This window comes from Homo sapiens, chromosome 3, assembly GCF_000001405.40.
Source record: "Homo sapiens chromosome 3, GRCh38.p14 Primary Assembly".
In the NCBI taxonomy this organism is placed as follows: Eukaryota; Metazoa; Chordata; class Mammalia; order Primates; family Hominidae; genus Homo; species Homo sapiens.
Genome location: NC_000003.12, coordinates 80,724,560 through 80,745,414, shown reverse-complemented (window position 1 = coordinate 80,745,414; position 20,855 = coordinate 80,724,560). Strand labels below are relative to the sequence as shown.

The 20,855-nt window shown below is 35.1% G+C and overlaps 1 long non-coding RNA gene across 5 annotated transcripts in view, besides 1 other annotated feature; it reads left to right on the top strand.

Annotated features, from left to right (window-relative positions):
- Positions 1-20,855, top strand: part of LOC105377177 (uncharacterized) — a 250,124-nt gene that overhangs the window by 24,934 nt on the left and 204,335 nt on the right. The gene's annotated exons all lie outside the window — the stretch shown is intronic.
- Positions 11,663-11,907: a silencer, noted in NCBI's record as "fragment chr3:80782659-80782903 (GRCh37/hg19 assembly coordinates)". NCBI's record gives its function as "represses an EF-1alpha promoter that drives an FKBP-Casp9 reporter gene in an ReSE screen in phorbol 12-myristate 13-acetate-treated (for megakaryocytic differentiation) K562 erythroleukemia cells {active_cell/tissue: K562(+PMA)}" and the evidence as "EXISTENCE:reporter gene assay evidence [ECO:0000049][PMID:32094911]".

Sequence of the window (20,855 nt, the reverse complement as noted above, 5' to 3'; positions counted from 1 at the left end):
ATTATATTATGATCTTAAAAGGACCTAAAAATGGGGGAAAAAAAGATAAAAACAATTCTACCTCTTTTTAGGAGAGTTCATTTTAATTAAATAACATAATTTTCTGTTTTATACAAAATTTGTAGACTTTGATTTCTCAGTGCTTTAAAAATGCAATGCTTATTTGATGTTAATACTCATGTGAAATTTAACTACGCAGAAATATCGATTCACTTACCATAATAGAAACAGCCTTTAATATTATCCTACTGTTTTTCTTTTATTGTTTCTCCGCCATCCATCCCACCCAGTTCTTGTCAGAGTGATCAGATATCTATCAGTCTCTACTTACTTCTACACTTTAGTAGAGGCACTTATCTATGGACCAAATTCTTTAGCACTTCTTTTTGATGGTCAATTTACGTGCATTTTAAATGCTAATAAGCATCTGCTTTCAGCAATTAGAGTTACCTTATCATTGACAGGAGGGAAACAAAAGAAGTCCTTTGATAGGACATTTTGTGTAATATGCATAGTTCACTGCCTGGAACCATTTTAGTTTATGTTGATCTGTAATTAGCATTATACAGTTTAAATTCTGCATACTGGAAATATGTTACATAACAACAATTATTTAATTTTACAAATTGACTAAATTAGTCAAAACAGAGTCTCTCAAGTTATAGTCCATACACAGTTTGGACATTATGGTATTAAAATACTTGGATTGGTGTATATTTTTTTAGATTTATTTGATAATTTTTATGTTTGATTTGGCTTACTACTTGCATAAGACTAGGTATATCTAATTATACTAGATAATCTAGCTATACTTCGTTTCAGATATCTAAATATTTACATTGCATTATTGTAAGAATAAAGCATCCTGGGTGTTCATGTAATCTATGTATTTCAGGTTTTGGATTAAAAACGGTTTCAAACACTCAAAAAATTCTTTTATATCAAAAACCGTGTTCTCACTTATTTTTTATTCTTAAATTTTAATCTGTTACTATGTTTTTAACAAGAATAAACTACCTTAAAATCATGCACCTTTTAGAAATTTGGTTTCAGAAATGGTATTTATTGGTAACTTTTTGGGAAAATGCTATTGTAAATATTTTGGTTTTCTCTTGATCTATAAAAACTACTCCCAAAACTTGAGGGTTTAAACAGTCATTTTATTTTTTCTCTTTTTTGGCGTCAAAAATTTGGAGAAGGTTTGGCTGAATGGCCTGAGATAGAGAAAAGACAGAGATAGAGAAATTAGAGAGTTTATGTGTCATAAACTGGAGTGCCGGTTCCACAACGCTTTCTCACATACCTAGGTGTTGGTGGTTACAGCTGGAAGGCTAGACTCAGCTGGACCTCTCTCTTTTAATGGTCATTTCAGGTCTCTCCATATTGTCTTTTACATACTATATCAGGGCTCCCAGATACTAATGAAGAAACTGCTAGTCACTTCAAAGGCTAGCTAGAATTGACATTGTGTCAGTTTCGCTACATTATTGAACAAAGAAGTTACATGTTGTCCAAATTCAGAGGAGTGAAAGAAGATTACTTTCCTCCATGGACAGAGTGGCAAAGAATTTGTGGCAGTCTTTTCTCTCTCTCAACAGGAAATCTCAAAAGACTTGTCAAGTTATAAAGTTTGGCAGAAATTCTGTTAAATAAAATCAGCTGAAATGTGTGTAATAAAGTATAGTTAAAAGTAATTATCATACTGTATATTTTTTTTTGTCCAGAAACTTTAAACCCATTTGTTAAGATTTTGCTTCTTTTATTTAATGTGAACAAAAATATCACTGGAAAGAGTTATCTCATGGGTGTTTATTAGAGAGTGCATTCATGTGCCTCTGGTATTATCCTGGCCACTTATAAATGCTTATCATTAGTCACATCGACTGGCAAAGTAATGATAGCATATTTTGACTCTTATGAGCTCACTAATGCATCTCATAATATGTCAAAATCTTAGTAGTTCCCATAATAAAATTGTAGCTTCTGAAGCTCAAGGGGACCTTAAAGTTCTTTTAGTAAAAGACAACTGATGCCTAGTTATCTTTAAAGAATTTAAGTAAAGAATAAGTTTTCCTTGTTCCCCCAAAAACATACATATCAAATGTAGCACATTTTCTCAATTATTAAAGACAATGAATTAATTATTGTAAAATTATCAAATCTACTCATATTCAAGTGCAATTATCTGAGCTGTATTATACGCTAGGACTTGGATTTGTACACTACATACATTATCTCATCTAAATTTATAACACTAAAAAAGATATGCATTATTTTTCCTTTTTTAGGTGACATTTGATATCATTAAGATTATTTAAATGTTACTGCTGGGAAATAATTTTATGTTAGAGAAAAACACCATGGATGAAAATAAATTTTATTTGTAACAGAGAAAAATGTAAAGAAAAAAAAAAAACAGGCAATGCTTTGCAACTATTTTTCTACCTTTCATCCTGAAAGGACTTTTAAAACAATAGCAATAATAATAACACTAAAAGAAAAAATTAAGATTGATTCAATTATTAGGGAAAATATACATAGCATTTGCTGCCAGAAAAGGAAAATCTTATAGACTACAATGACCAAAAGAATCATAGTTTAAACACATATACAAACACACACACACACACACACACACACACACACACACATACGGTTAGGCTTTGTGTCCCCACCCAAATCTCATTTTGAATGGTAATCCCCATAATTCCCACGTGTCAAAGGAGAGGCCAGGTGGAGGTAATTGAATCATAAGGGCAGTTTTCCCTATGCTGTTCTTGTGATGGTGAGTGAGCTATCAGGAGATCTAATAATTTTATAAGAGGCTCTTCCTGCATCTCTCGGCACTTCTCCTTCATGTCACCATATAAACAAAGACATAATTGCTTCCCCTACTGCTATGATTGTAAGTTTCCCGAAGCCTCCCCAGCTATGCTGAACTGTGAGTTAATTAAACTTCTTTATTTTATAAATTACCCAGTCTAAGGCAGTTCTTTATCGCAGTGTAAATATAGACTCACACACACACATACATACACACAGAGAGAACTTTAAGAAAACACAATAGTGCAAAGAATAAGAACAAGAAGAAAAAATTATTGAATATACATGGCCATCCCTGCCTACACCCACACTGACATAAGACATAATGCTGAAACTTAGAGACTAGATGAAACTTATTAAACAGGGACTGCAGATGATGTTCCAGTATCCATACAATTAGCCAGAGAGAAAATACATTGTGAATTCAGCATTAATTGACACCATAGCTATTGTTTTTTCCAATTACAGCTCAACACCTCTCTAAATATAGCTCTCATTCTTTGCCTATTTTGTCTAGTTGAGTTATAAGTATTGATTCAATACCAATAAGTGGCCACATTCTAGAACTACTTTATTATCTATTTTTCTTCCCTAAAGTTTTATTTATTTATTTTTCTTCATAAAGAGCTACTTGCTTAGAGACAGAGGTAAGAAGAGAAATTGATAATAATAATGCCATAAAGCAGGCTTATGTTTATTTACCTAGTTATTACAATCTTTCCAAAGATTATTGCAAGGAGGTATATGTATTTGTTGCTGTGCATATTGCTTAATATTCTTTTATATTGCTTAATAATATCCTTTTGTTGTGCTTAATATCATATCATAGACAGCTTTAGAAATTCTAAAGATTAGTTACAATCTATACTCTTTCCTTTTTTGTTTCCTTTATCTCTAATTGCATTGCAAAAGTTCTATATAAAGGTTTTTATCATGTTATCTGTTATGTCTCTTGCAAATATTTTTGATCAATTTGTAACTTTTATATTTATTTTTATTTATTGGTATTTAAATTTTTTGTACAGAAAATTTGAATTTGTATATATCCACTAGCTCTTTTCTGATATATGCCTTTGGTATCATTTCTTCAGACATTCAATGTTAAATAAAGGTAATACAGGTAGTTTGCAAGTGAAACTGGATGTATATGAGTATTAAACATCAGAACTTAGAGCTTCTACCTACATGTAAACTCAGGGTGCAATTCTCAATTATTAACTTATTTTGCTTTGTCAATTGATCCTGAATTGACAGTGCTGAACTTCCAATTTGTCCTTTTTTTCTTCTCTCTTTCGTTCTTTTTTTCTCCAAATATTCATTGATGGCTTTCTACATAATAAATATTTAATATAACATCAGAAGATGTGTAAGACACATGCTGTAACCTTAATGCACATAAAAGATTAAGTTGGTATTACTTTATCCCTCTTCCTTTTGATGTCAAAGAGTAATGGCTCAGGATGGCAGTTTTAAGATTTGTGGTTCTGTTGAACATATCGTGTTCTTGGTAGCTATTTTGGAATAGATTGTAGGTGAGGTCAACTATTTTTCTTTTTTTATTAGTCTATCTCTGCCTCTGATGATGTATTTGAGTCTTGGCCAGGTTTATAACCTCTGTGTATCTACTTACAAACTTGGAAAATAAAGAATCTTGATTTATTCAGTCTTTATTTATTCACTACTGCCACTAAAATTTCTAATCCCGAAACTGCCATGAGGGATATAATATATTAACTGCTATCACATACTTTATGAGATTGAAATAGAAATATAATTGTATCACTTTTATGCTTCCAATTATCCATTTAGCCCTTCCCATATAATTTTATTAGCAGTCCTCAAGATCAAAAATTGTTCCCAAATACTAGAGCTTACTTTGACCATATGATACGGTTTAGCTGTGTCCCCACACAAATCTCACCTTGAATTGTAGTTCCCATAATCTCAACATCTGTTTGGAGGGATCTGATTGGAGGTAATTGAATCATGGAAGCAGTTACTCCCATGATGTTCTCAAGAATGTGAATGAGTTCTCATAAAATCCAATGGATTTATAAGGTGATTTCCCTCCTGTGCTTGGCACTTTTCTCTCCTGCTACCATGTGAAGAAGGATGTGTCTGCTTCCCTTTCAGCCATGACTGTAAGTTTCCTGAGGCCTCCCCAGCCATGCTGAACTATAAGTCACTTAAAAAAAAAAAAAAAAAATTTCCTTTATACACTACCTAGTCTTGGGTATGTCTTTAGTAGCAGCCTGAGAAAGGACTAATACAGTAAATTGGTACCTCAGAGAGTGGGATGCTACTATAAGGATACCCAAAAATGTGGAAATAACTTTGGAACTGGGTAACAGGCAGAGGTTGCAACAGTTTGGAAGGCTCAAAAAAAAGACAGGAAAATGTGGGAAAGTTTGGAACTTCCTAGAGACTTGGGGGGCTCAGAAGACAGGAAGATGTGGGAAAGTTTGAAACTTTCTAGAGACTTCTTGAATGGTTTGGACTAAAATGCTGATAGTGAGATGCACAATGAAGTGGTCTCAGATGGAGATGAGGAACTTGCTGGAAACTGGAGTAAAGGTGCCTCTTGTTATGCCTTGCAAAAGAGACTGGGTGGCATTTTGCCCCTGCCCTAGAGATCTGTAGAACTTTGAACTTGAGAGAGATGATTTAGGGTATCTGGTGGAATAAATTTCTAAGTGGCAAAGCATTCAAGAGGAAACAGAGCATAAAATTTCGGAAAATTGGATAGAAAAGAAAAACCCATTTTCTGAGGGGAAAATTCAAGCCCACTGCAGAAATTTGCATAAGTAATGAGGAGCTGAAGGTTAATCACCAAGAAAATGGGAAAAATGTCTCCAGGGTATCTCAGGGACCTTCGCAGCAGCCCCTCCCATCACAGGCCTAGAGGCTTAAGAGGAAAAAAATGACTTCCTGGGCTGGGCCCAGGGCCCACCTGATCTGTGCAATCTCGGGACATGGTGCCCTGTGTCCCAGCTGCTTCAACTCCAGCTGTGGCTACAAGGGGCCAAGGTACAGCTTGGGCCATTACTTAAGATGGTGCAAGCCCCAAGCCTTGGCAGCTTCCATGTTGTGTTAAGCCTGTGGGTGCAGAGAAGTCAAGAATTGAGATTTGGAAACCTCACCTAAATTGTATAGGATGTATGGAAATGTCTTGATGTACACGCAGAAATTTGCTTCAGGGAGACAGCCAACATGGAGAACCTCTCCTAGGGCAGTGTGGAAGGGAAATGTGAGGCCAGAGCCCCCCACACAGAGTTCCCACTGGGGCACTGCCTTGTGGAGCTTTGAGAAGAAGGGCACGATCTTCTAGACCCCAGAATGATACATCTGCTGACAGCTTGCACTGTGCACCTGGAAAAGCCACAGGCACTCACTATCAGCCCATGAAAGCAGCTAGGAGGAGTGCTGCACCCTGCAAAGCCACAGGGACAGAGCTTCCCAAGGCTGTGTGAGCCCACCCTTTGCATCAGCATGCCCTGCATGTGAGACATGAAGTCAAAGATAATTATTTTGGAACTTCAAGGCTTAATGACTGCCCTACTGGATTTCAGACTTGCATGGGGCCTGTAGGCCCTTTGTTTTGGCCAATTTCCCATTTGGAATGGGTGTATTTACCCAATGCCTGTATCCCCAATTGTATCTAGGAAGTAACTAACTTCCTTTCAATTTTACAGACTCATAGGTGAAAGGGATTTGCCTTGTCACAGACGAAACTTTGAACTTGGACTTTTGGGTTAGTGCTGGAAAGGGCTAAGATTTTGGGGGACTATTGGAAATGAATGATTGTGTTTTGAATTTTGAGGACATGAGATCTGGGAGGGGCCAAAGGTGGAATGATATGGTTTGGCTTTGTCCACACCCAAATCTCATCTTGAATTATAGTTCACATAATCCCCGTGTGTGGTGGGAGGGACCCGGTTGAAGGTAATTAAATCATGAAGGTGGGTACCCCATGCTTTTTTTGTGATAGTGAGTTCTTACAAGATCTGATGGTTTTCTGAGGTCTCCCCAGACACTCTGAACTGTAAGCCAACTAAGTGTCTTGTCTTCATAAATTACCCAGTCTTGGGCATGTCTTTATTAGCGGCGTGAGACCGGACTAATACACCATAAGTGCTAATTATATTTGTAATTTCTCAGTGGAGAGAGTAGTTTTATGTGTATATTTGATCCTGATTTCAAGTGGTTTCCTTTTCATTTTGCTGTTACGTATTGCTGTTGGAAGCTGGTCACTCAAAATCTCAGACTTGCCCACTGCTCTTGCTCCTCCTCATCCTTGCTTAGGCCACAGGTCTTGTTAGCTCTTGTTTGTTTATGCTTAGCATGTATTCCCAAACCCAAATTTAATGACAATATTACTACTGCAACCATATGCTGGCTGAAACTCATTCCTTTCTGTAAATCTCTGAGCCTTGGAATGATGTTTAAAATCAGTAGAGATGATTGTCTTTTTTGATATGCCTTGTTTGAAGGTTTTTTTTTCTTTTTCACGTTTTTGCTGATACTCACCATTTGAGACCATCTCAATTTATCAGAATTTGCAGCAATAGTGTTACTCCAAAAAGAAGAGATCATCGTAATTCCTGAGACAGCACCCTGGTTTTTACAAGAATTTGCTAACCTCAGTGAACAGCATGCATATTGTAGTTGATAACTTCACAAGACATTTTGTTACTACTTTTTCTCAGATAAACATTTTGTGACATCTAATAGGTTTAAATTTGCAATATTGAAGAGTTTTTTTTTTCACAAAACTATAAAAGAAAAATGTACAGGAAGCTTGTCCCCAAAACAAAGGAATATCTAGAAGCATTTTTTGGAGAAAAAAATTATTTCTGGGACTCCAGCTACATATGAAAGGTGAAATTATTTCATTTTTTTACATGACTGATACAGTTTGGCCGTGTCCCCACGCGAATCTCAAACTGTAGCTCCCATAATAACCATGTGTAGTAGGAAGTACCCAGTGAGAAGTAATTGAATCATGAGGGCGGATCTTTGCCATGCTGTTCTTGTGATAATGAATAAGTCTCACGAGATATGATGGTTTCATAAAGGGGAGTTCCCATGCACATGCTCTGTCTCTCACCTGCAGTCATTTAAGATGTAACTTTGCTCCTCCTTTGACTTCCACTATTATTGTGAGTCCTCCCCAGCCACGTGGAACTGTGAGTCTATTAAACCTCTTTTTCCTTATAAATTACCCAGTGTCAGGTATGTCTTTATTAGCAGTGTGAGGACAGACTAATACCGTGACCTCAAACACTCACATGCATGGTATGCGTCTGAAGATGCAGTGAGTTATTTTTATAAATTTATGGACATAAATTACACAGTCACTTTTTCATTTGTGTAAGCATTAGTCTCCACTAGTAAGATACAGTTTTGTAATTCACAAGTATAATTAAAATCTGAGATTAAATCTTCATTGGAATTAGTGCATTAAAAAAATTAAAAGACTGTATAAGATTGGAAGTTGATATATTACATTATTCCTGGGTGACTTAAAATTTATCCTCTATCATTATGTACTCCTATTTTTATAGTCTAAATTTATTTCTCCATGTCATTACTGCCTTTATCAACCTCAGTTACCATCAGGCTCACATCAGTTGAGCACTCCAGGCATAACTGTGTAATTACAATTTTATGTGAATTATTAAGATCTGGGTTCCCAGTCCAAATACATCTTTGTATATTTTACATTATCATTCCAGCATTGGAGTCTGCAAATGTCATTTCTTCTTTGTCAGCTGGCTACCTTTTAAGATCTGTAAGTAGAGTGCAGGGAGTGAGGTTGGAAGGCTGGAAGAGTGAAAGGAGACTTGCTCCTTCCTCTTGTCTTCTGTCCTCTCTGTTATTGCTCCACCAATAACCCTTCTCCCTGACTTCGATACATTCATATCTTGGAGATCTTGCAAGTTTGGTTCCAGACATGTCAATAAAATGAATATTGCAATAAAGCGAGTCACGCATTTTTTTTTTTTTTTGGTTTCCCAGGGCATATAAAGTTATGTTAACACTATATTGCAGTCTATCAAGTGTATACAATATTGCTTACGAAACAATATACATGCCTTCCTTAAAAATACTATATTGCTAAGAGATGCTAATGATCATCTGAGCCTTCAGGGAATCATAATCCTTTGGCTGGTGAATGGTCCTGCCTCTATATTAATGGTTATGGACTAATCAGACTGGTGGTTGCTGAACGTTTGGGTGGCTATGGCAATTTTTTACAATAAGAAACAGGCAAGAAAGTTTGCCTCATTAATTGACTCTCCTTTTTACAAAATATTTTTCTGTAACGTGGGGTGCTGAGAGCATTTTACTCACAGAACTTCCTTAAAATTTGGAGTCAATCCTCTCAAATTCTGTTACTGCATTATCAACTAAGTTTATGTAATATTCTAATTTTTTTTTGTTGTTATTTCAACAATGCTTGCAGCCTCTTCAACAGAAGTAGATTTCATCTCAAGATACCACTTTATTTACTTATCTGTAAGAAGTAAGTCCTTATCCATTCAAGTTTTATCATGAGATGGCAACAAATTCAGTCACATTTTCAGGCTGCATTTCTAATTCTAGTTTTCTTGCTATTTCCACCACAACCTCAATTAATTTCTCCATAAAGTCTTGAGCCCCTTAAAGTCATTTAAGAGGGTTGGAATCAACTTCTCCCCAACCTTTGTTAATGTTGATATTTTGACTTTCTCCCATGAATCATGAGTGTTCTCAATAGAATATAAAATGGTGATTTTTTTTCCAGAAGGTTTTCAATTGACTTTGCCCAAATGCATTAGAAGAATCAGTATCTATGGCTGCAATAATCTTATAAAGTGTATTCTTAAATAATAAGACTTGAAAGTCAAAATTACTTGTTTTCTTATGGACTGAAGAATGGATGTTTTGGTAGCAGACATGAAAACAAAATTAATCTCCTTGTACATCTCTATCAGAGTTATTGGTTAATTAGGTGCATTGTTCATGTGCAGTAATATTTTGAAAGAAATATTTTACTTTTTCTGAGTAGTAGGTCACAATAATGGGCTTAAACTATTCAGGAAACCATGCGATGAACAGATATGCTTTCATTCAGGATTTGTTTTTCCATTTATAGAACACAGGCAGAGTAGCTTTAGCGTAATTCTTTAGGACCCTAGGATTTTCAGAGTGATAAATGAGCATTAGCTTCAACTTAAAGTCAGATCTACATTTAGCATTTTACCCACAGAACTTCTTTCAAAATTGAAGTCAATTCTCTCAAATTCTTTTACTGCATTATTAAGTAGGTTTATGTAATATTCTAAAATTTTTGTTGTCATTTCAACAATGCTCACAGCATCTTCAGCAGAAGTAGGTTTCATCTCAGGAAACCACTTTCTTTTCCACTGTGGGTAAAGTTCATGTAGGAATTTTATGGCTGGAGGGAAGTCAATTGCTTGCTTCAAAGCTTCAAAGGACAGGCCGACTTTTTGTTAGGGGTTAATGTAGATCTGAATTTAGAGAAGTCCAATAGAGGGCTACTTCATCTGTAATGAAAATCTATTGTTTAATGTAGCCACTTTTGTTACTGGAAAGTGGTCCCAATCCAGACCCCAAGAGAGGGTTTTTGGATTTCATTCAAGAAAGTATTCAGGGCGAGTCCATAGAATAAAGTGAAAGCAAGTTCATTAAGAAAGTAAAGGAATAAAAGTATGGCTCCTGCATGGGCAGTGCAGCCAGAGGGCTGCTGGTTGCCCATTTTTATGCTTATTTGTTGATTATGTGCTAAACAAGGGGTGGGTTATTCATGAGCTTTCTAGGAAAGGGGTGGGCAATTTCTGGAACTGAAAATTCCTCCCCCTTTTTAGACCATAGAGGGAAACTTCCTGATGTTGCCATGGCATTTGTAAACCGTCATGGCACTGGTGTGAGTATAGCAGTGAGGAAGACTAGGGTCACTCTCATAGCAATCTTGGTGTGTTTTAGCTGACTTCTTTACTGCAACCTGTTTTATCAGCAAGGTTTTTATTACTTGTATCTTTTGCCAACCTCCTGTCTCATCCTGTGACTTAGACCCACTGACTGGGAGTAAAGCCCAGTAGGTCTCAGCCTTATTTTACCCAGGCCCTATTCAAGATAGAGTTGCTCTGGTTCAAACACCTCTGACAAATTTGTCAATGGTCTTAGCTAGATCCTCTAAATTGCTACAGCTTCTACATCAGCACTTGTTGCTTCAACTTGCACTTTTATGTTACAGAGACAGCTTCTTAAACATCCTGAACCACATTTTTTTCTGCAACTTTCTGCCTTTCTCAGCCTTCATAGAATTGAAGAGAGTAAGTTAGGATTTTGCTGTGGGTTATGCTTTTTCTTAAAGGAATGTTGTTGCTGGTTTGATATTCTTTCCAGACCACAAAAACCTTCTCTGTGTCAGCAATAAGGCTATTTCACTCTCTTAACCATTTGTGTGTTCACTTGAGTAGCATTTTTGGTTTTGTTGAAGACATTTGTTTTCTTTGCATTCACAATGGTACTGAAGCAGGAAATATAAGAAAGAAAAACAACTACAAGGAAAACAAGTCCTTCCCTGACCAGGCTGACTCACTCCAAAGTCCAGCTGGAGCTATGGTAACATTATCTGCAAGGCCTAGCAGGGGCCCCGAATAAATGGGCTCCAAGTGCAGGGACAAGAAAAACAAGTTCTTATCAGTTTCCCCCTGGAATTCTCTCCCCGTGCCATCATTCTTTGTTCTGCTCTCATAACTAGTTTGTAACTATTTCTGAAAGTTTGCAAGGATTTTGTAAGTTCCTGTTTTCCCATCTGTGCAGGATGATAAAGGTCACAAGACATGCCTGATTTGCAAGACCTGTCACAGTGTGATTAACTACCCATGTTCTTCTTCTGCAAGCGTGTTTTCCCGCCTCAGGTTTCACTCCACAAACCTGACCTGGCCCCTGTCAAACGCATGTATAAAAGTCAAGCCTTGTCTTTGTTCCTTTCTCAGCCTTTGGATGTTAATCTGCTGAGCCCTTGGCTACCTAAATAAAATCCTCCTGTCTCACCCAGTGGTCTCTCTGGTCTCCTGATTCTTGCAACAGTATAAGAGGTCTAGTTGTTGGCTTATCTCAGCTTTGGATGTGCCTTACTAGGCTTAATCATTTTTAGCTTTTTAATTTAAAATGAGAGATCTGTGAATCTTCCTTTCACTTGAACCTTTAGAGGACATTGTAGGGTTATTAATAAAAGAACTTTAATCTCATTCATTTCTAACAGTGAAAGCCAAACATTCCTAACCCTGTATTGCAGGAAATAGAAATGTAGTATGTTTATCCATAGATTATTTCTGAGACTCTTTTATAAAGCCTTCCATGGAAATAAATTGATCATGAAGAGAAGGGATTCTTATACAGCTTTTACTTATTCTGCTTAAGTTGGATATCTACATTTGTACTTTTGCCTCTTTTTCTTGGGAAGTGTTAAATAAATTATTTCAAGAATAACAATAGCTTATTTATTAATATTGTATCTACAAAACTAAAACTTGTCAGTTAACCACATTCTAAATTAACAAATTTTAAGATTTTATTATTTGGAATGACACAAAATAGAATAGTTTTAAAGTCTATGTTATCAATTAAAAAGTGTTCTTTTTTCACATTTTAATCCAGTAGTACAGTTATAATACATTTAAAAGGCTTCATTTAACCAGAAATATTCTAATGGGGCCCAGCACTTTCCTTATTATACTTAGGCTTCATGAAAACCACAGGTTGGATTAGAAAGAAATCAATAATTCCACTCAAGGGTTTTCTATTTTACAACAAGAAAAGATTATTGAGTGTGAATTGTAAAGTTCAACAATAATTACTTGGTAATTTTGAGGCAGTAAGCTCTACCTATTTAATAAACATATTGCTTAACTCACATTTTTTTACTATGAGAGACAATAAGGATAGAAATTTAAATAGCACCTCCTGCCACTGTAAAGCTTAAAATATAGTCAGAAAGCTAAATATAGAAAATAGAAAATATAGAATGGATTAAAGACGGCAATATTTTAATAGTGAAAATAACTGATATTGATAATTTAATATATGCCAAGCATATTTCTAAAACCATTGAATAAATTTTAATGAAATGATTTCCACAACCCCATGATGTGTGTTAATATTTCCTGTGGAATGATGACAACAAAAAATTTGACTCTTTAGTATTTTCATATTGTGGATTATGATATCAAGACACAAAGATACAGAATTCTCTCAAAGTCACACAGTAAGTGAGTAGCAGAGCTTGGTTTTCATACAAGGAGCCTAATTGTATGGTCTCCCTTTTAAATTTGATGAAGGCATAGAAAACAACTAATTTAGCTTGGGAGAGTCAGAGAATAATTCACTAAGGAAATGTGTCTATAAATGTATAAATAATAATTTGATAAAAGAAAAATCACACAAAGAAAACTCATCTAGAGACAGAAAGGATATATGCATAAAAACAAAGAACCAAGTATACCATTACATTCAGAGAGTAGTGAGACATTGAGAGAATAAATAAGGAGCAGCAGAAGATAAAGCAAAATAACTAAAATAGAAACGTATTATGGGAATTCTTATTGTATTATAATTTATTATAAAAATTTCCAAGGAAGGAATGCTGAGAGAGGTCGGAGGTTATGAAGGAGAAAATCTGAAAACCAATTGAGGAGGAAATTGTGAGGTCTGTGAGATGATACAGTGTAAAACAATGTGCAACAGTCCATTATAAGGAAGAGTGAGCCAAGACTAATGAAAATATCATTCCGAAAGTTTATGAGTCCTATAACCTCTAAGTTGAGACAGTTTCCAATAATGTGGAGCATCTTGTATGGATTTTGTTATGTTCAAATCAGAAAGTCTAAAATTAATGTGGCATATAGAAATATAATCTTTAGAAATTAATGAGAAAATAATTGACGAATGGAAATTTTTTTCTCCCATTTTTATACCAAAATGTGAAGTCAGATGGGAAAACATAGATTATGGTATACATTGTCAGTATAGATATTTTAAATGACATAATTATCATTTCCATTATGGCTCCTTTTATAGGCAATGTATTTTAAACATATAAGCAGATAATACAAGGATTCAAAAGATCATCAAGCTCAAATATTCAGTAACACACCTAGCTTTCTATACTTATACTTCCTATAATTCAAAATATAGGATTTGATGGCACTTATTATAAGGGGAATAGATATAAGCACAAATTACATGTTCATATCCCAAAAGTATTATATGTGCATATATTATATTTTATATGCACACATATAAGTTACATATATATAAACACACATATAGTTTACATACATATGTACACACAGATAAAAAACCTCAAGGTAACATTCAAACAAAAAAAAAGATAAAAAATGAATGACAAGGTAATAAAAGGAAACACTAGACAACCCAGGTTAATTGTTACTGCAAATAAATGAAAAAACTAATTTTAGGTATTCTTGGTTGCCAAAGCATAAAAATAATTCTTATTTAACATAAGCAAATTCATAAATTAATTAAGATATGTTTATTTGAGAATGATTAATTGAATGAATCTATAAAATGCAACTTTGAAATACTTATTCTACTTCTGTGCAGGTAATACAATAGAATTTTTATTTTGATTCGTTGAATTTTTTGTCAAGTATTCAGGAAAATTTCAAAAACAATAATTTTATGAGGATGAAGCAAAAATTATTCTTATTATTATTTTAAATATTACCCTTAATAAGCTTATGAGAATAACCAATTGTCGTTTTAGGAATGCAAGGGGAACTGGCACGTTATATTCCAGGCATGTAAATATCTGAGATAATAAGATGATAATATAATATATCAAACTCTAGAGATAGTAAGGCAAAGCATGCCACATAGAATTTCAATATACATTGTTTCAGTTGAGCTTTGAGGTGTTAGTAGGTAATATAGGATTCCAAACAGATAATTAACTAACATGGCATTGATTGAATGTAAAAGTTTATGTTTTACACAATAGGTACATAGGTGACCAAGTTACCATTTTTTCTGTAAAAGTAAAGTTTTCAGTGCTATTCAAAATAAAAAAAATATATTGTGCTTACATATGATAAAGTGTAAAATCTTAAAAAGTTAATATTGAAGAAATAAAATACTCCCAACATATATATCATGTCTATACACTTAAAAGTTCCAAAAACAAACAATTAAACTTCATTATATAGAATAGAAACATGATTCTTTTTATTTTTATTTTTAATTCAATTTTTTTTTTTTTTGAGACAGTCTCACTCTGTCGCCCAGGCTGGAGTGCAGTGGCGTGATCTTGGCTCACTGCAAGCTCCGCCTCCCAGGTTCACACCATTCTCCTGCCTCAGCCTCCCGAGTAGCTGGGACTACAGGTGCCCACCACCATGCCTGGCTAAATTTTTCTTGTTCTTTGTATTCTTAGTAGAGACATGGTTTCACTGTGTTAGCCAGGATGTTCTCCATCTCCTGACCTCGTGATCCACCCGCCTTGACCTCCCAAAGTGCTGGGATTACAGGCATGAGCCACCTCACCCAGCCACGTGATTCTTAATTAAGAACAAAATAATACTATTTATACAGCCTTAAGGTGCCGAGAGGAGGTTGTCATTTGCAAGAGCATCTGGAGTCCTCTGGGATGTTGGGAATGTGCTATTTCTGGATAGGAGTGATAGATAATATCAGAGTTCACTTGGCAGTTACTTTAAATGAATTTTACATTTTCTTTGTGTATATTTCACACAATTTAATAAGGAAAAATAAAGGTTTAATTATATTATCTGCATAAAAGTAGAACATTTAAGTATTTCAATGCAAAACCAAGGCTTTTCTATATAAATCTTTTATGATCTTAAAGAGTTTTGGAACATATACTCAACAGCAACTTCAAACATCCACTTCAAAAAGTATAGAGGAGACCACATTGACCAAGAAAACTTCAGTAGCATTTGATGCCAATTTTGGGGTAAAACTGCTAAAAATAAGTGTAATGTGATGTTAATGTTAACATATTATTTTTTGTGTAAAAGTTGATATCTAATATATTTATTTCTTCATGAAATGCATTGTTAAATGTCAAATTAAATGTTTTAGAGTGTCAGCAAAGGCAGTGACATATTTTGGCAAGGCTATTATTAAGTTCTTGTACTGGAAAAAAAAAAAAAAGATGTTCCTGAAGCCAGTTGCAGAATACAACACTAAGACAAACTAGACCAGAGGATTTCTTTTCTTATCTTTCCTTTTTATAAAAGAGTGTGGGTAAATGACTATTTTTTCTAAATTCTGATAATTTGTCCTTGTGCATAGGCCTATATACTTTTTGTCATTTAACAGTAAAAATTATTATCTTGAGAATCCATGTGACCCATCTAATTTGTTGACGTGTTGTTGAAGAAAATGTCTCTGAATGAGCAATTGAATCTTTAGATTTACATACCCTCACAAAGTATTCTGGCCCATAAATTGTTACAATCTATGAAATTATAATTTTAAAAAAATCAGTGAATGCCATAAATAATTTAAAGTTGTTCTTAATAGCCTTCTAATGTCTGAAAGAGCACAAACAATCTAAGGTCACACCTCAAAGAACTACAGAAACAAGAACAAACAAACCCAAACCCAGCAGAAGAAAGGAAATAACCAAGATCTGAGCAGAACTAAATGAAATGGAAACAAATAAAACAATACAAAAGATAAATAAAACCAAAAGCTGCTTCTTTGAAAAGATGAATAAAATTGATGGACTGTTGTAGGCCGCACAAATGTTTTTTGTGATTAGGTACATCTGAAGCCAGTTAGTAATAATATGAACCTGTGATCAATTAAGCAGCTGACTAATCATTACCTCCTCCTCCTTGCTCTTGTTACCCAATAAATAAGAAGGGCTGCAGGAGCTCAAGGGGGGTTGTCTTTGCTCTCTAGAAGCAGGGAGTGCTCTTCTTCTCCCCGTGTTGCCTTTCCTTAGAACAGTTTCTTTTGCTTTAAGTTTTCATTTCTACGTTCCTCCCTTCGTTCAGTCTTGTAACGATGATCTCAAGTGGTAACAGTAGTAACTGCTGTAATGATGGTCTCAAGCAGTAACAGTAATAACTGCTGTAGTGATGGTCTCAAGTAGTAATAGTGGCAGCCAGCTACAATAGACCATCAGGAAGATTAACCCAAGAATAGAAGAGAGAAAATCCAAATAACCTCACTAAGAAACGAAACAGGAGATATTACAACTGACACCACTGAAATACAAAAGATTACTCAAGGCTACTATGAACACCTTTATGCACATAAACTAGAAGACCTAAAAGAGATGAATACAATCCTGGAAAAATGCAACCCTCCTAGCTTAAATCAGGGAGAATTGATACCCTGAACAGACCAATAATAAGCAGCGCGATTGAAATGGTAATTTAAAAATTACCTACAAAAGAAGTCCAGGACCAGATGGATTCACAGCAGAATTCTACCAGACATTCAAAGAAGAACTGGTACCAATCCTTTTGACCCTACTCCACAAGATACAGAAAGAAGGAACCCTCCCTAACTCATTAACTCAGACTCACCCTAATACCCAAAGCAAGAAAGGACATAACCAAAAAAGAAAACTACAGACTGATATCTTTCATGAACATAGATTCTAAAATCCTTAACAAAATACTAGGTAACAAAATCCAACAAAATATCAAAAGGATAATCCACCATGATCAAGTGGGTTTCATACCACGGATGCAGGGATGGATGGTTTAATATATGTAAGTCAATAAATGTGATACACCACATAAACAGAATTTACAACAATAATCACGTGATCATCTCAATAGATGTAGAAAAAGCATTTGACAAAATCCAGCATCGCTTTACTATCAAAATTCTCAGCAAAATCAGCATACAAAGGACATACCCTACTGTAATAAAAGCCATCTGTGACAAACCCACAGCCAACATAATACTGAATGGGGAAAAATTGAAAGCATTCCCTCTGGGAACTGCATCAAGACAAGGATGCCCACTCTCACCACTCCTCTTCAACACAGTACTGGAAATCCCAGCCAGAGCCATCAGACAAGAGAAAGAAATAAAGGGCATCCGCATCAGTACAGGGGAAGTCAAGCTATCACTGTTTGCTGATGGTATGATCATTTACGTTGAAAACCCCAAGAATTCCTCCAGAAAGCTCCTAGAACTGATAAAAGAATTCAGCAAAATTTCTGGATACGAGATTAATGTACACAAAACAGTAGCTCTTCTATGCACTAACAGTGACCAAGCAGAGAATCAAATCAAGAAGTCAACCCATTTTACAATAGCTGCAAATATATATATATATATATATACATATTACATATATACATATATATATACATATATACTTAAGAATATATTTAACCAAGGAGTTGAAAGACCTCTACGAGGAAAACTGCAAAATACTGCTGAAAGAAATGGTAGATGACACAAACAAATGGAAACACATCCCATGCTCATGGATGGGTAGAACTAATATTGTGACAATTACCATACTGCCAAGAGCAATCTACAAATTCAACACAATCCCCATCAAAATACCACCATCATTCTTCACAGAATTAGAAAAAAACAATTCTGAAATCCATATGGAACCAAAAAATAGCCCACATAGCCAAAGCAAGACTAAGCAAAAAAGAACAAAAGAAGGTATCACAATACCTGATTTCAAAGTATACCGTAAGGCCATAGTCACCAAAACAGTACTGATATAGTAGTAGGCACATAGACCAAAGGAACAGAATAGAGAACCCAGGAATAAACCCAAATGTTTACAGCTAACTGATCTTTGACAAAGCAAAAAAAAAAAAGGACACCCTTTCAACAGATGCTGTGCTGGGATAATTGGCTAGCCACATGTAGGAGAATTAAACTGGATCCTCATCTCTCACCTTATACAAAAATCAACTCAAGATGGATTAAAGACTTAAATCTAAGATCAGAAACTAAAATTTTTAGAAGATAACATAGGGGAAAAAATACCCTTCTAGACATTGGCTTAGGCAAGGATTTCATGACCAAGAACCCAAAAGCAAATGAAATAAAAACAAAGATAAATAGCTGGGACCTAACAAAACTAAAGAGTTTTGCATGGCAAAAGGAACAGCCAGGAGAGTAAACAGACAACCCACAGAGTGGGAGAAAATCTTCACAATCTATACATCTGACAATGAACTAATATCCAGAATATACAATGAACTCAAACAAATCAGTAAGAAAAAAATCAAACAATCCTATGAAAAAGTGGGCTAAGGACATGAATATACAATTCTCAGAAGATATGCAAATGGCCAATAAACATATGAAAAAATACTCAGCATTACTAATGATCATGAAAATGCACATCCAAAGTACAATATGTTATCACCTTACTCCTGCAAGAATGGCTGTAACAAAAAAAAAAAAAATAGAAAAACAGATGTTGGTGTGGATGCGGTGAACAGGGAACACTTCTACACTGCTGGTGGGAATGTAAACTAGTAGAGTCACTATGGAAAACAGTGTGGAGATTCCTTAAAGAACAAAAAGTAGAACTGCTATTTGATCCAGCAATCTCATTACTGGGTATCTCCCCAGAGGAAAATAAGTCATTATTTGAAAAAGACACTTGCACACGCATGTTTATAGCAGCACAATTCACAATTGCAAAATCGTGGAACTAACCCAAATGCCCATCAATCAACGAGTGGATAAAGAAACGGTGGTATATATATATGATGGAAGACTACGCAGTTATAAAAAGGAATGAATTAACAGCGTTTGCAGTGACCTAAATGACGTTGCAGACTATTATTCCAAGTCAAGTAACTCAGGAATGGAAAACCAAACAGTGTTATGTTCTCACAGATATGGATGAGGTAAAGTATGAGGTCACAGAGGCGTAAGAATGATACAATGGACTCTGGGGACTTGGGGGGAAGAGTGGGAGGAGCGAGGGATAAAAGATTACAAACATGATGCAGTGTATACTGCTTGGTGATGGGTGCAAAATATCACAAATCACCAGTAAAGAACTTACTCAGGTAAACAAATACCATCTGTACCCCAAAAACTTATGAAAAAATAAAATTAAAAAAAATTAGGTGAAATTCATCATAGCAATAATCAATTAAAAAGAGTTGTGGTCAGGTGCGGTGGCTCACGCCTGTAATTCCAGCACTTTGGGAGGCTGAGGCAGGCAGATCACAAGGTCAGGAGTTCGAGACCAGCCTGGCCAATGTGGTCAAACCTCATCTCTACTAAAAATAAAAAAATTAGTGGAGCATGGTGATGGGCACCTGTAGTCCCAGCTTCTTGGGAGGCTGAGGCAAGAGAAGTGCTTGAACCCGGGAGGCAGAGGTTTCAGTGAGCTGAGATCGTGCCACTGCATTCCAGCCTGGGTGAAAGAGCGAGACTCTGTCTGAGAAAATAAAAAACACAAACAAACAAAGAAGAGTTGCAACTAAAACTGCCTATGTCTCAGTGAGTTATTGGAGACTCAGTCATGCAGTTTATAAAGGAGAATCAGTGTAGTGACTTGAATGGATACAGATTATTTACAGCTCTTCATTGTGTGTGTGTGTGTCTGTGTGTGTACATTCACAAACATTCACATACTTTATTTCAGGGCTTTAGAAAAATATGAAAAATTTCATATTACTCAACCCCTAAAATTTTGCCACAACTATAACATTTATTTCAAGTAAAAAAAAATTTTATTGAATTGGTTTCATTTCCTTAGTGACATTTGAATGGTATTTATGTCAAGTGCATTGGGGAAATAAAAAGATTGTCATTTATTATTCCTTAATTTAGGTCTAATTTATTGTTTGACAATGTTGAAATGCTGATTTTTTTTTAGAAAACTCATTTTTAATATTTTAAAATCTTGTTTCTATTCTTATAGGAAAAATAAATTATAGGAATTTCATAATTATTAACAAGTCATTATATTAATTACCTGACTTTTGAATTCACTTAGATGTATTGTGGCTATATGC